At 41.7% G+C, this 14,743-nt stretch overlaps 1 protein-coding gene across 3 annotated transcripts in view; it reads right to left on the bottom strand.

Annotated features, from left to right (window-relative positions):
* Positions 1–14,743, bottom strand: part of GNPAT (glyceronephosphate O-acyltransferase) — a 36,762-nt gene continuing 22,019 nt past the window's right edge. For all 3 annotated transcript variants that reach the window (NM_014236.4, XM_005273313.5, NM_001316350.2), the window contains 12 exons: positions 12,554–12,681; positions 12,187–12,262; positions 11,809–11,960; positions 11,567–11,697; positions 10,071–10,294; positions 6,974–7,216; positions 5,583–5,662; positions 3,912–4,052; positions 2,654–2,753; positions 2,476–2,569; positions 1,778–1,839; positions 1–475 (listed from right to left, as the gene is read on the bottom strand). In NM_014236.4, coding sequence (NP_055051.1) covers positions 432–475; positions 1,778–1,839; positions 2,476–2,569; positions 2,654–2,753; positions 3,912–4,052; positions 5,583–5,662; positions 6,974–7,216; positions 10,071–10,294; positions 11,567–11,697; positions 11,809–11,960; positions 12,187–12,262; positions 12,554–12,681 — 1,475 coding nt within the window. In that variant the 3' untranslated portion in view covers positions 1–431. The remainder of the gene's footprint in view (positions 476–1,777; positions 1,840–2,475; positions 2,570–2,653; positions 2,754–3,911; positions 4,053–5,582; positions 5,663–6,973; positions 7,217–10,070; positions 10,295–11,566; positions 11,698–11,808; positions 11,961–12,186; positions 12,263–12,553; positions 12,682–14,743) is intronic.

Raw genomic sequence — 14,743 nt, 5'->3', positions numbered from 1 at the left:
TACTTGTTTGAGGCAACTTTAATTAAAGCAAGCTACAAGTAACGTAGATATGCCCTTTTCATTTTCTTTTAATATCCAGAGCTTTCAGTGTTGTCATACTTTAATTCAAAAGTCAACATAAAAGTTTAATACATATAGTAAGCTGAAAAGTGTTAGTGAAATGAGCTGAGCTTTGCTTTTCCAAACATGTTTCCAAAAGTTTATTTTAAAACACACACATAGTGTCAGATACAAACGCCTTTTAACCACTGTGGTGGGGAAGAGTAAACTGATTGCTTCCAATGATCATCTCTTCCCTCTGCGTCCACTGTTCTCAGAGTCTCAGGGAGTATGAGAGGATGTGTCTCTTCCTTTACTTCCCTGTTTGTTGTAATGAGTCCTTCGATGAGAGTAATTACGTGACCGAATTTTCCATAACTATTTGTTGATTATTAAAGTTTTGCAGTGGCTGGTTTTCCTATTGGTGTCTTACAACCTAAGATGAAAAAAGAGAAGCAGCTCATGAAATGATGCTGATTTTGCCCTTCCTCATACAGCTGTTCCTTGGGCGACTGTCCAGGGGAGAAGCTGGAGACTTGTGCAGAGCTTCACAGGCTGGCCAGTACCCATGGGGACGCCAGCCCCCTCCACAAGGGAAGCGGTAGATGCTCCAAGAGGTGACAGCATGGCCAGAGCCACAGGGCCAGGGCCAGGAGTTGAACCCCGTCATGTTTTCTGAACTCCAGTCCAGTATGTTCACGCTCACATCACATCTGCTTTCCGTGATTAAGTAATTGATTCCGTCACCCTCACAGGGCGAGGTGTTTGTGGTTGTTTTAGGTATATGCACCTCTTCAGACACGATATAAATAGAAGACTGGGATTTCGACCTACATATTTTTTTCTACAAGGTCTAGTACTTCCGCCTTCCCGATATGCAACAACTACCCCACTGCCCTTCTACCCTTTTCTTCATCCATTCTCCTTTTCCGTATGCCCCATTCTGGTCTTCCGCAAATCCCAACAGACATTTATCTAAAGCTCTTCCATGCAGGTTTGACGAGGTACTGAATTAAGATTAGGTACAAAAACAGTACTTGGAAGACGATCCACTCAAGGACATCACGCCATTCAATATAATCAGCAGATTATTTTTTCCAAATGTTAACACCCTCCTTTCTAAAATGGCCGCATCATTGCTAGGAAAAGTGTTCTTGACCCCCTCTGATTGTACCTCTGTTTATGTCAACACTCAAGGACTCTTATGTCAAGGAAGACAACACTCAAGGACTCTTTTTGGACTAGACTATTTCTTCATAGCTGATAGGCTCTAGAGAAGAGTAAGGGTTGGATTATTCTCCCAAGGATGTGCTATCAGCCCTAATTCTGAGTTCAGAAAGTCTACATGATAGAGACACTGACACTAATCTCTCACTTGGGAAAGAAGCAATGCAAGACAGACAGTGAGAGCATCAAACAAAGAGTGGAGATGAGGTACTCTCTCTGAGGCAAGGATGTGAAGGGTCTGGGCCTCTGGCTGAGACCAGTCATGTTAGGGACTGACTCTTTCTACTGTGTAAGACTGCTTCTTTTATGCCTGCTGTGTTTTGTTAATTTTCTTTGTGCTTTCTCGTTAGCTTCCTTGAGAAAATTCCAGACTGCATAAGTAATTCCCTTTTATGTTAGAACTCTACTACTTACTGATCATTTTGATAAAGTATTTGGTGCCACAGTATACTTTCTTATTTTAATTCATCAACAAAATGTGAAAACTTGTATTTTATTAAACTGCACTTACCAAGCATTTCTTCTAATTTGGTTGTGGCAGGTTCATTCACATTAAATATACAGTTATTATTTCTAGGAGAAAATAATAAGCTTTATTATTACATAAACTCTGGGGAAAAGACAACTTTTATATTTTGTTCCTGACGTAGCTATTGTAAGACTACTTTTCAATTGCCTTCCTCAAGGCTGGGCCTAAGTAGTCGAAAGGCCTCAGGCTCCTGTCCCACCTCCTGGCTTCTTGCTTCATTCTTCTGACCACATAAGAGACATGACTGCCAGAGTTTACTATTAAGCTTTATCACTGTTAAATTCAACCACTTAGAAGAACATACATCTATATGTTTATATATACATATACAGGTATGTATCTATATATGTATTATGTGTGTATTTATGTGTGTCTACACTCATATGCCCACTACACTCCCGAAAATCTTTCTTGTAATTATAAATTTCAACATTAAGTCAAAGCAAAAATATTGGCCTAAAGTTATTTCTTCCTTTCTTTGCTTCAGTTGCATTTCTATTCATAACCACATACAATTTTCAGGATAACTCACACTGACTTAACTAATTAGAGGATGGATAAGGAAAGTAGAATATAGCATTTCCTAGATCATCCATTTCTATGTCTCTCTGGATTTTGAGCTCAAATGTCATTCATTTCCTTGTTCCTTGAGCACTCATGGGATCTTGTACAGTACTTACATCTTCTTCTTCTCCACTACTCCGAGCCTCACACAGGCTGCTAAGGCGTTTTTCTGCACATCAGAAGATAATACATCATAACATTGAGAGGTACCTAAAATTGGGGGTGAGGAAGAGTTAGTTGACCAGTTTCTATTCTCAACTAAAAGAAATCAGCACCCACAGAGCAGTGACTGACCTTGATCGAGAAGCTGACTTGTGAATTTTCTGACTGCAGCCAAGTACTGTTCCTCACTGAAGTGGTCCTCTTCTTCACTCAAAAGGTACTTGCAAATTATCTGATTTTAAGAGGAAGGATGAGGGGAACAGAAAGAGAAAAAGGATAGCCAAGTTCAACAGAATAGTAAATAACTTTACATTGCCCCTCTTAAGAGAAGGATATATCACAAGAGAGCAGCATAAAGACCCTCCAAGGAATGAGCCCAGAAAAACCAAAGAATTTTTAGGGCATCTCCTTTGAGTTTACATTTTACAATTAGAAAAAGATTTAAAATAATAATGACATTTATTAAAGTATAATTTCTCACTTCAAGGGGTACAAGTTAATTACCATCAGCTTCGTATCTCTTATGCTACTTGGGAAGAGAGGGGTCAGATTTTAATAACTTTGCTTTTTTTCTCTAAATACACCTAAGAAAGTACCATGCCCTAAAATACTTGATGATTTCTACTGTAGAACAGTGATTAAGGGTAGAACTAGCATTTATCAAATGCTCAGTAAGTGCTAGACTTTGTGCAAGGAGGCTGAATGAGTTATTTCACGGACCACAAGCACCAGGAAGTGGGTCCAGGTGCCCAGAGCCAGTGCATGTATTATATGAACAGAGCCGAGTCACAGCATCCTCTTCTCTCAAGCATGTGGAAGTCCTTCCTACAGTTTATGTTTCAGACTCTTTCTCTCCCGTTGAGTCCTGCCACAATTCCTGCTGGGCAACATACCATCCCATCTCTCTAACTACTCCCAAGAGCTCTGACAAACGCTTTCAGAACTTGCACTTGAACTTTTTCTTTCCAACATAAACATCTGGTAATCTGTAACTGACTTTATGTATCACTCAAGTCTTGCCTTTACTGAGTGCCTGATATATATCAAACCTCGAGGTTACATATTGACTGACATGAAGGCCTCATTAAGACATGAGACACAGTATGACAGATGATGCGTGGGTGTAACTGTGGTCCTGTGAATACTGTGACCATGGCATCACTAAGCTGTTGTCCTCTTGGGTCTGTAATGAACCAAGCTTCCTCCTGAATGCGGGGAGCAAGGTCTCACTGGTGAGGTGAAATCACTGATCGTATTAGTCACTCTCTCTCCTTCTTCCATTTGCCTGGGGAAGATACCTGCCCTTCAGACTGGAAATAAGCACAGGGTGAGAATGTCTTATTATATTTGATATGGGGGGCATGAAGGAGAACTTGCCAAATTTACATACCTGATAGCTTTCCACAAAAGGTTTAAAGAGTCCTACTAAAAATTCTAACACAGTATTTCCTTTCTCTGTAACTAGGATGTCTTTCGTAGTCACTTGTATGGCTTCACTTTTACAAAGCAGGTAACAGCCTTCTTCAAAGTCCTAGAAGGGAAGAGGAAGCCATAATGTTCATCTAGGTTAATGGGTATAGTGCCCATCTGAATACATGTACCCCCTCATCTAGGTTAATGGATACACTGCCTATCTGAATATATGCAGCCACATGCCCTCAGACAACAGAATACCAGCTATTTCCCCAACCTCCAGAACAATTCTGGTTGTGAGATAGTAGCCAGAGAAGCATCTGCTCTACATTCAAAATGTTTTCAAACACAACATTTCTGAGCCTTACAAATCACAACCTGGGTGATGGATTTTCTTTTACTTTGCAGAACCACTCCTTAATTTAAATAGGAAATACATACAGCAAGTCCTAAAAATACTTAGAATTATGCTATGGTTAAAAAATTTCTGGCTGGGCGCGGTGGCTCACGCCTGTAATCCCAGCACTTTGAGAGGCTGAGGCGGGCGGATCATGAAGTCAGGAGATCGAGACCATCCTGGCTAACACAGTGAAACCCCGTCTCTACTAAAAATATAAAAAATTAGCCGGGCGTAGTGGTGGGCGCCTGTAGTCCCTGCTACTTGGGAGGCTGAGGCAGGAGAATGGAGTGAACCCGGGAGGCAGAGCTTGCAGTGAGCTGAGATTGCGCCACTGCACTCTAGCCTGAGCGACAGAGCCAGACTCCACCTCAAAAAAAAAAAAAAAAAAAAAGTTTCCAACACTCCTGTTCCACTCCCTACAGAATCAAACCTCTTATCCTTAAAGCACACAAACACCTAACATGCCTCTCATCTACTGTCACTTCCCACTTCAACCCAGCAGCAGTCCAGCTCTGCGAGCCTGATGACCCCTCAGCTGTCTAGACCAGGCAGGACCAGCACTCACTACTCTCAAAGTAAAAGGCACTTGCCTGGGTGACTCATTCTAACAACTTGCTAACAGGAAAATGTGTGCTGATTTTGTTGTGTTTGGTTTCTTTTTTTTTGAGATGGAGTCTTCCTCTTGTCACCAGGCTGGAGTGCAGTGGCACAATCTTGGCTCACAGCAACCTCCACCTCCCGGGTTCAAGTGATTCTCCTGCCTCAGCCTCAGCCTCCTGAGTAGCTGGGACTACAGGCATGCGCCACCACGCCCAGCTAATTTTTGTATTTTTAGTACAGACGGGGTTTCACCATGTTGGCCAGGATGGTCTCGATCTCTTGACCTCGTGATCCGCCTGCCTCGGCCTCCCAAAGTGCTGGGATTACAGGCATGAGCCACTGCGCCCGGCTGTGTGCTGATTTTTAAACGTTTACTAAAATAAAGTTAGTTTAGTTGTAATGGCCACACTGATAGTTCAAAGAATGACTCTCCTCTCACCATATAATCCCTAAGTTATTAATTAAACTTGATCAAGAATCAAACTAGAGTCTGCTGAACTGTGAGCGCCCCAGTTTCTCTTGAAGTCTGCCCCACTTTGCCTTGAAGAAAGGGATGGCACACTGCCTGAGACACATCTGTGAATTCACCCCTAACATTTCTAGAACTCACACTGCAAACATACTTGCTCTTTGTTGTAAGCACTTTACCTTTAGTGTGTTTCCTGGAAGGAAGATGAACTCATCTGCAAAAACATCACGTAGGAAGCGAAAGCAACTGTAGACATCCTCTGGAAATAAATGCATCATGTAAAATTACAACATTGCCCTTTAAACTTTAAGGGAGTACCAGGAAGTCCTTACTATCACAAAATGTATTTCAAAGGCATATTTTATTCATGTAACAGGGACAAGAATTAAGTCCCCTGAGGGAAGCTAAATTAAACCCAAATCTTACCCACAGAGCAAACTACGGTCTAGCATAGTTTGTTTTTTGTTTTTTGAGATGGAGTCTCGCTCTGTCACCCAGGCTGGAGTGCAATGGTGCAATCTTGGCTCACTGCAACCTCCGCCTCCTGGGGTCAAGCGATTCTCCAGCCTCAGCCTCCCAAGTAGCTGGGATTACAGGCACTCGCCGCCATGCCCAGCTAATTTTTGTATTTTAATAGAGACAGGGTTTCACCATGTTGGTCAGGCTGGACTCGAACTCCTGACATCGTGATCCTCCTACCACGGCCTACCAAAGTGCTGGGATTACAGGCGTGAGCCACTGCGCCCGGCCCTAGCATAGTTTTTAAATGATTGACTCTAACCTACAACCAGGCTTCTACTCAGCGAGACATCACAGTCCTTAGAGGCCAGGACGCTTCATTTTTCCCTACCCCATGGCTCCCTAGTAGGGAAGGAAAGGTACTGATTTCTTAATTTCCCTCTATATTCATATTTCCTGGTATCTTTATTATATCTGTAGCACTTTTCCTTAGAATCACTGTGGAGCTTTGAAAAGCCAAAACCAAAACCAAAACCAAACACCAATGGCTGGCCCATACCCCAGGTCAACTGAAGAAACTTTGGGGTGGGGCTCACTCCCCTAGTAATTCTAACATAGGGCCTTGACAGAACCCCCTGGCCTTGACTACAGGCTCCTGTGAACATGACGTGTACTGTACTCATTTTTATACTCCTGATACAATTAGAACAAGACCATGCATCTCGGGAGTACTCATCGACTGCTGACTGCTCATCTGCCCACCTGCCTTTGCTGGATCAGGGAGCTGGCACAGCCAAAACAGTGCCGCAGACCAGGAAGTGGAGAACTGTACTCAAATGCCAGATCCTTCTCTCAGTAATTATGCAACTTTCTAGGCCTCATTTTCCATATTTATAGAAGGAAAGGTTTAGATTATTTCCAGGTCCTCCCAATTCCAAAATTCGAAGCAGATGAACAAGTATTTGGGGAACAAAGCTAACTTTTTCTCAGTGATAGGCCTGCTCTTCACCGGCGTGAGGCTGAACATTACAAGGCTTCAAATGTGGCTCCCTAAATGGAATGGAATGGCCAGACCTCTTCTAAAAGTCAAGATTGCATTCCTGAAAATTACCTTTCCTGAACCCTGGTGTCATCTGCAATGCTACTGCTACTAAGGATGGGCGCACAAAAATGTTGAGCAGCTGGTTCCTATAAGCTGAGCACATGAGGAGAGTGATGTGCTGGAGCATAAGCCCATCGACCACTTCCGAGTCTCCGGAGTCCACTTTCAGAATCACCTGGTCTTTGACAAGGCTGGCAATGTTGGAATGCAGAAGAATGCTGGCCGGGACAACTTCTTCAGCAGGTTTATTATCTACACACAAAGACAATTCATTCAAACAAGATGGGTCACTGCAGGGAGTCTTAGGCCTAGCGTACGTTAACGTTATTAATGGTAACGTGACAGATGCTCATTTTCAAGTGACAGGTTTTACTGTCTACCAATTACGGTAATGATACCAAATCTGAAGAAAAATTTAAAAGTACTATTTCATAAATCAATTCTTTCTCTCTCTCTAAGGACATGTAACATACTTTCTTACCCCCAAAATTTGTCAGCCATTCTGAAAGGCACATCAGTTTCTACTCTGAAAATGAACACCACTTCTGTGTACTTCAGGAACCAAGGGAATCTAAAGTTTTCTAACAGCAAGTTACATAACTGGAAAGTCACATGCACGGGAATGTAAGAATACTAAGAAAAAGGCCCATGATTAGTGTATGAATACATTAAAACATACAACACACACACACATGCACACACACCCCTTGCTTAGACCCATACTAAAATGGTAAAAATATCACTTTGCAGTTTTCCCCAAATCAAAGATAACTAAAGGGGCAGCTCCATGGCAGTTGGTAGCTTATCACCTGACATATTGGCCTGCAGACAGCTGCCAGGCAGGTAGAATTACAGAAGCATAATGAAGAGATGGTGATATTTAACAAATATTCTCAGCACGGAAAATTATTCTGCAGTTAACCTGAGCCAAAGAGCTGGCTGGCAGTGGCACACTGCTCAAGTTGGGTGGCAAGTTCTGCTACTGCTTCAAGGCAGGGACAAGTGAGAGGTATGGCTTCCTCCTGGACTTGATCACATTCATTCTTGAACAACTTGCCTTGTCTCAGCTTGCTCAATTGAATAATATTTTATGTGAAATGATCATAAAAAGCTTGAGATATGAACATGCTTAGGAATGTGGGGTAATCTGCATAAAAAAAGAAAAAAGGAACAGAACTGTAGTGACACTGAACAGATACTCTTAGTTATGGATTAGTTATGGCATTTATCCCATCCTGAAAAAGCAAAACACTTTAGAAAAACAAGTACCTATGTTTTCATATGTTCCTGGGCCAAACAATGATGGGTTTGAGCCCTTTTAGCTATTTCTCATGACATCCAACACTTGCTACTTGTATCATAATTAACACATCCTTTGCCTCCTACCAGACCCAGCCCATCACAGCACTGAGAACAGGTGTCTGATTTGTCTCTCTCTTGGTGACTGGCATTTTTGTCAGTAAATCCTCCTCATCTCTTGGCTGTGCCCTGAGTGCCTCCACTGCTGCGGCTCAGGCATCTCAGGCATCCTGCATTTCTCATTGGGACAGAGCAGCCTCCTAACTTGTTTCTATACCTCCAGTCTTCTGATGGTGGATGGTGGGGAGGAGGCGGGGAGGTCCATCTTTATTTTCCATCTACCCACCACCCCATCTGGGCCAACACTTTAATATCACTGATGAATCTCTGGGGCCCAAGCCTCCCATCTTGCATTCCTCATCCCTGCCTTGGCGAGGATCCTCTCCTGGTCTTCCTGAAGGGTTCAAAAGTCGCTTCTGTGAAGTCTTCCTGAGTATGGTCCCTTTCCTCTGCAGCACTCTCAGGAACCCTCTGCAGCATGCATGTTGCTCCTTGTCTCTGTTCACTGAACCCTCACAACTTGTTTACACATTACCCACCCACCCTGCCCTCTGCAACCCAGGGGAACGTCCAGGATGGGGATGGCATCTTGTTCATCTTCATATCCCTGGTAGTACCCAGCACAGAGGAGGTATTCAGTATTGGGTTGATCAAAGAACAGTAGGTACTTGACTTCAAATAATTATCTGGTCTTTAAAAAAAAACGCATTTCCAACTGTAGCCTGTACAATTTTTTTTTTTTTTTGAGACGGAATCTCGCTCTATCACCCAGGCTGGAGTGCAGTGGCGCAATCTTGGCTCACTGCAATCTCTGCCTCCCAGGTTCAAGCAATTTTCCTGCCTCAGCCTCCCGAGTAGCTGGGATTACAGGTGCACGCCACCATGCCCGGCTAATTTTTGTGTTTTTAGTAGAGACGGAGTTTCACCATGTTGGTCAGGCTGGTCTGGAACTGCTGACCTCGTGATCCGCCCGCCTCAGCCTCCCAAAGTGCTGGGATTACAGGTGTGAGCCACCACGCCCGGCCTTTTTTTTTTTTTTTTGGAGATGGGGTCTCACTATGTTACTGAGGCTGGTCTCGAACTCCTGGGCTCAAGTGATCCTCCCACCTCAGCCTCCCAAGTAGCTGGGATTATAGGTGTGTACCACCATGCCTGGCTAGGATTCATGACTTTATTTTCCACCGTACTAGGTGCCAAGGAAATGGTATTCTAGTCCTCAAGATATTCAGAGTCTCGTAGTGGGAAATGACATGTAAACAATTATTCTCAAATAATCAACGTGCTGTGTTCACTGTGTCCTATAGTGATAAAAACAGATTTGGTGTCCTTTCTCTTTTTCTTTCTTTTTTGAGACAGAGTCTCGCTCTGTTGCCTAGCTGGAGTGCAGTGGCACAATCTCGGCTCACTGCAAGCTCCGCCTCCTGGGTTCATGCCATTCTCCTGCCTCAGCCTCCCGAGTAGCTGGGACTACAGGCGCCTACCACCACGCCTGGTTAATTTTTTCTATTTTTTAGTAGAGACGGGGTTTCACCGCGTTAGCCAGGATGGTCTCAATCTCCTGACCTCGTGATCCACCTGCCTTGGCCTCCCAAAGTGCTGGGATTACAGGTGTGAACCACCGCGCCCGGCCTGTCCTTTCTCTTTCTGAGCAATCCTTTGCTCAAGTCCTCTATAGATTTTTCAGGTCCAGGTTTTAACTCTTCCAAATTAAGCAAGCATTCTCAACACATATGTCCTACCTACATACCAGGCCAAATGAGAAACCCTCCAAATGCCTGGGTTAAGCCTTTTAGCCATAAAGTCTTTTCCACCAGAGCATCAAAGTCCATGGATGGCCGGTTCTGAAGCAGAACAGCAACTATTAGGGTCCAGGGGCTCAAAACCATGTTTTCAATTTGCAGAAGCTCCATTTTGTAGGCAACTTCAGTGACAAAGGCATGCATGTCCTCAGACTGTTTCTGAGGAATGTATCTAAAAGGAAGAGCACAGAGCAACAAATTACAGTTCTGTTACTTAGACAAATGGGGATGGAAAAAGACTCTAGACGTTTTAGAAGGCTTCTCATACTTTGTGCCAACTGAATTCTCTCAGGTCAGGTGCAAACAGTATTCCTTTGCTTTACTATAGTGTAATCTGACCATACATTTCTGGAATATCCTCTTGAGAGATGGTAAAAATACTGAAGGGGTCCAGGGTCCTATTATTCCTGGTTCCAGGCAAAAAACTTTTGTTGCTTCCTAAATAGGATACATCGTTTCTCTGAGAATGGATGCCTGCCCCAGTAGACTAAATTACTATCTTTTCAGAATGCATAGCACGCTGAACATATCTCCATTGTAGAACACACTTAACAGATTATATAATAACTATTTTATACTGAATGGGTGCCATTCAGTTTGTCTGACTTCATGCATGGATTACCAAACTTTGAATAGTACAATAAGGCCTGCACAGAGCTGGCTGGAGCAGAGATACACACATGACCTAAAAATTGCCACACAGGTGGCTTAATGTGAAAGATGCAGCCAGTAAGGGTGCCCTGTACTAGGTAATAGCCAGCCAAACCAATTTGAGATCTAAAGAGAGAGCCTGTGTCAGGAAAAAAACTAACATAAGCGTCTGTGATGACTAATGTAGCTGCTGGGAAACTGCTAAAGCTACAGATAAGTTACAAATGATGTTGCAGCACATGAGGCCTGGAGGGGCAGATGGTTTGTCTCCCTTACTTGTCCAGGTATATTTCTCCTAATTAAGAAAACTCAAATGTGTATCTGTGTTCTTTATCCTGAAAGAACCTAATATATTTTCTTGCCTATAAAACTATAACTCTCTAGAGACTAAGGACTCACTCCCATTCATTACCATTATGCAATCCTTTCTAGGGTCAAAAATAATAGTACATACTTTGGCTAGCTTACCAATAGTGCTCAACAATTCCTGCACATATACTTGTTAATAATGGCATTATTTATTCCCACTTTAGTTCCCTTGAGAAACATGATCATTGTCTGATTTTGCATATTTGACATACATATCTCACAGCTTATCTTTTTTTGGGACAAACACATAATTCTTCTTTAATTGAAGGTTTCCACTGATGAAAACGGAATGATAACAGCATTTCTGATCATTTTCTCTGTAATCTTAAGTAAATCAAGAGAAGTGGTCAACTCCAGCATTGCAACTCACACCTTTGGATTTTAATCCTCATTTCTAAGACAGTTATTAAAACACAGGTCACACCTTGGAACCAAGTTATATGAGCTCCGACTCATCCTCCCAGCTGCCAAAGATCGAAGTGACACAGGATCTCCAAAGTACACATGGATGCTTCCAAAATTTTCAGAGAGAATCTTTCTGGCTTTCAGCAACCCCTAATAGTACCATAACAGGGGGGGAAGAAAACGAAAAGCAGTAAATTTAGAAATTAGTTGATGTGTCAGTCAGCACATTCTCTCAATTAAGCTAAAATCAAGCTCACGTACAGTTGTAGACTCTTTTGGTTTAGGAACCCCTAGAAGCTCATACACATAAAGAGTTTCTTCCAAGATCTTATCATAACTGATACTAATTGGGACAAGGTAGGTATCAAAAACTTCTCTTTTAAAAAATGGCTCCATCACAATATTCAGAAGACCTGCAAAACACAGGGAGAAATGCTTCATCAACATATTGAAGAGCAGAGCAAACATGAGCACATAAACGGAAAATACTAAAAGCATACATTATACACTAATCCCGTAAATATCAACAGTTATACATTTACACTTGAAAAGAATATCTTGTTAAATAAAGCGTCAAGTTTTATGTAGCAGCTGATGTCTTTGGGTTTGTATTTTTCCTTTTAATCTGTAGTGACCTACCAAATTTAGGAGTCAATGTCTTGGCAGAGCGGCTTCTTGTCCCTTCGAGGAAAAATTCAACAGGAGCATAACCATTCTTTAAAGAGAAAACAAACAAAACACAAAACCCATTGCCTACTCTCAAAATGATAAATGCTTCTTTTGATTCCTTTTCCCAAGCTCCCTCCCAAGCTTCCTGAACAAACACAGCTTACAGTGAAAATTAAACAAGAGAGTCACACAGATTAAACCAATTGCTGAGGTTATAAGCAGTTCTTGAGGGAAAGCAAAATAGCTAAGTGTTCTATTCAGAAGTTAAGAGTTTAAATGAGCAAACATCAGTGAAGAAAATATGGCTTAAGAGTAGTTGGGAATTATTTGCATTTACCCGTAACATAGTTTTTACATATTCAGAGAATACAGCCCAGTAGAGTTTATTGCCACCAAAGGTACGCCGCATGAAAAAGGCACCCGACATTCGTAGCAGCTCACCAACCATTTTCATTCCCAGGAAGTCTAAAAAAGAGGGGATAATATTTATTTGCAGATCTTGAAATCTTCTATAAAGATCTAAACTTAAACATGCTTATTTTTCATTTATATTTTATTATTTTATTTTATGAGACAGGGTCTCGCTATGTTGGCTAGGTTGGTCACAAACTTCCTGGCCTCAAGCAGTCCTCCTGCCTCGGCCTCCCAAAGTACTGGGATTACAGGCATAAGCCACTGTGCCTGGCCTAAACTCAAACATTATTAAGAAAGATTTCATAAATGTAAGACACCCCTATGATATTATTATACTTTGACATTAAAATACATAAGAGATACCTAATAGAATTATAGAAAAGAAGGGATTCTGTGGGCCAGGTGCTCACTGGGAGGTTACCTTGTGCTTCTCCATGCACCACTCCCTTTACAAGTAGGCCAGCTAGAGCCAGGGGCAACAGCAGAGCAACATGACAATGTCATGATGTCAATGTCTTTAGTCAGCCATGCTGCTGAGCCTGACAACAGACCAATATGTGCCCTTCATGCTCTGGACAGCCAGGCCAAACCCGCTCTCATCTTTTGCCTACCAGGAAAAAACATCAACCTACTTTTGTTGGAAGAGATTAAATAAGGCAAATCTTGTAAGAAAGGAAGATTGCTACCAGCAGTTTTAAAATAGTCTTTCTCTTCATTTCCCCTAGTTTTCAAATAACTTCCTCACAAGTTTGTTCAGATGAAAATGCTTTTAAAGTGCTTAAGTTCTTGGCAGTTTTAACCTTACCATTCACTGCATTTATTAACAAACGTGTATACTTGAATCCTGGCTTTCCTGGCTACCCTAAAAGGGAGTGGATAAACAACTTATATGCCTTAGCAATCCCACTTTTAGGAATCGATCTTACAGGAATAAAAGCACCAATATAAAAATGTATTATGACATTGTTTATAACAGCAAAACTACTAAATTATGAAATATCCACACTGCTGAATATTATATGGCTATTAAAATTAATGTTAGACATGAAGTTGGACCCTTAACTTACACCATATACAAAAATTAACTCAAAAAACCAAAGATCTTAATGTAAGACCTGAAACCATAAAACTCTTAGGATAAAACATAAGGGAAAAGCTTCATGACCTCGGATTTGGCAATGATTTCTTCGATCTGATACCAAAAGCACAGGGAACCAGGGAACCAAAGAAACAAATAGATCAATTGGACTACATCAATTAAAAACTTCCATGCATCAAATAACACAATCAACAGAGTGAAAAGGTAACCCATGAAATGGAAGATAATATTTGCAAATCATCTGTCTGATAAGGGGTGAATATCCAGGATGTAGAAACAATTCCTACAACTCAACAAAAAAAGCCCCAAACAACCTAATTAAAAAATAACGGACTTGAACAGACATTTCTCCAAAGATATACAAATGGCCAATAAGCACACAAAAAAGATGCTCAGCATCACTAATCATTAGGGAAATGCAAATCAAAACTACAAGGAGATACCACTTCACACTCATTAAAATTATTATAAAACATATCAGAAAATAACAGGTGTTGGCAAGGATGTAGAACAACTGGAACTCTTGTGCACTTTTGGTGGGAATGTAAAATGGTGCAGCTGCTAAGGAAGGCAGTATGGTGGTTCCTCAAAAAATGAAAAAAAATTACCACAAGACCCAGCAATTCCATATATACCATTTTTGTATATATATAAAAAAATGGAAAGCAGGGTCTTGAGCAGATGCATTTCCAACTTCAAAAAGGAAGGAAATTCTGACACATGCTGCAACATGGATGAACCTTGAGGGCATTCTGTTAAGTGAAATATGCCAGTCACAAAAGGACAAGTACTGTATGATTCCACCTATATCAAGCATCTAGAGTAGTTCACAGAGACAGAAAGTAGAATGCTGATTGCCCAGGGTCAGGGGGAGGGTAGAACGGGGAGTGTGTTGAATGGGTACCATTTCAGTTTTGCAAGATGAAGAGTTCTGGAGATGGATGGTGTTGATAGCAGCACAACAATGTAAATGTACTTAATGCCACTGAACTATATTTTTGAAGATGACTTAGA

Source organism: Homo sapiens, chromosome 1 (genome assembly GCF_000001405.40).
Source record: "Homo sapiens chromosome 1, GRCh38.p14 Primary Assembly".
Classification (NCBI taxonomy): domain Eukaryota; kingdom Metazoa; phylum Chordata; class Mammalia; order Primates; family Hominidae; genus Homo; species Homo sapiens.
The sequence above is the reverse complement of the archived record's forward strand: the minus strand, read 5'-3'. Positions and strand labels throughout refer to the sequence as shown.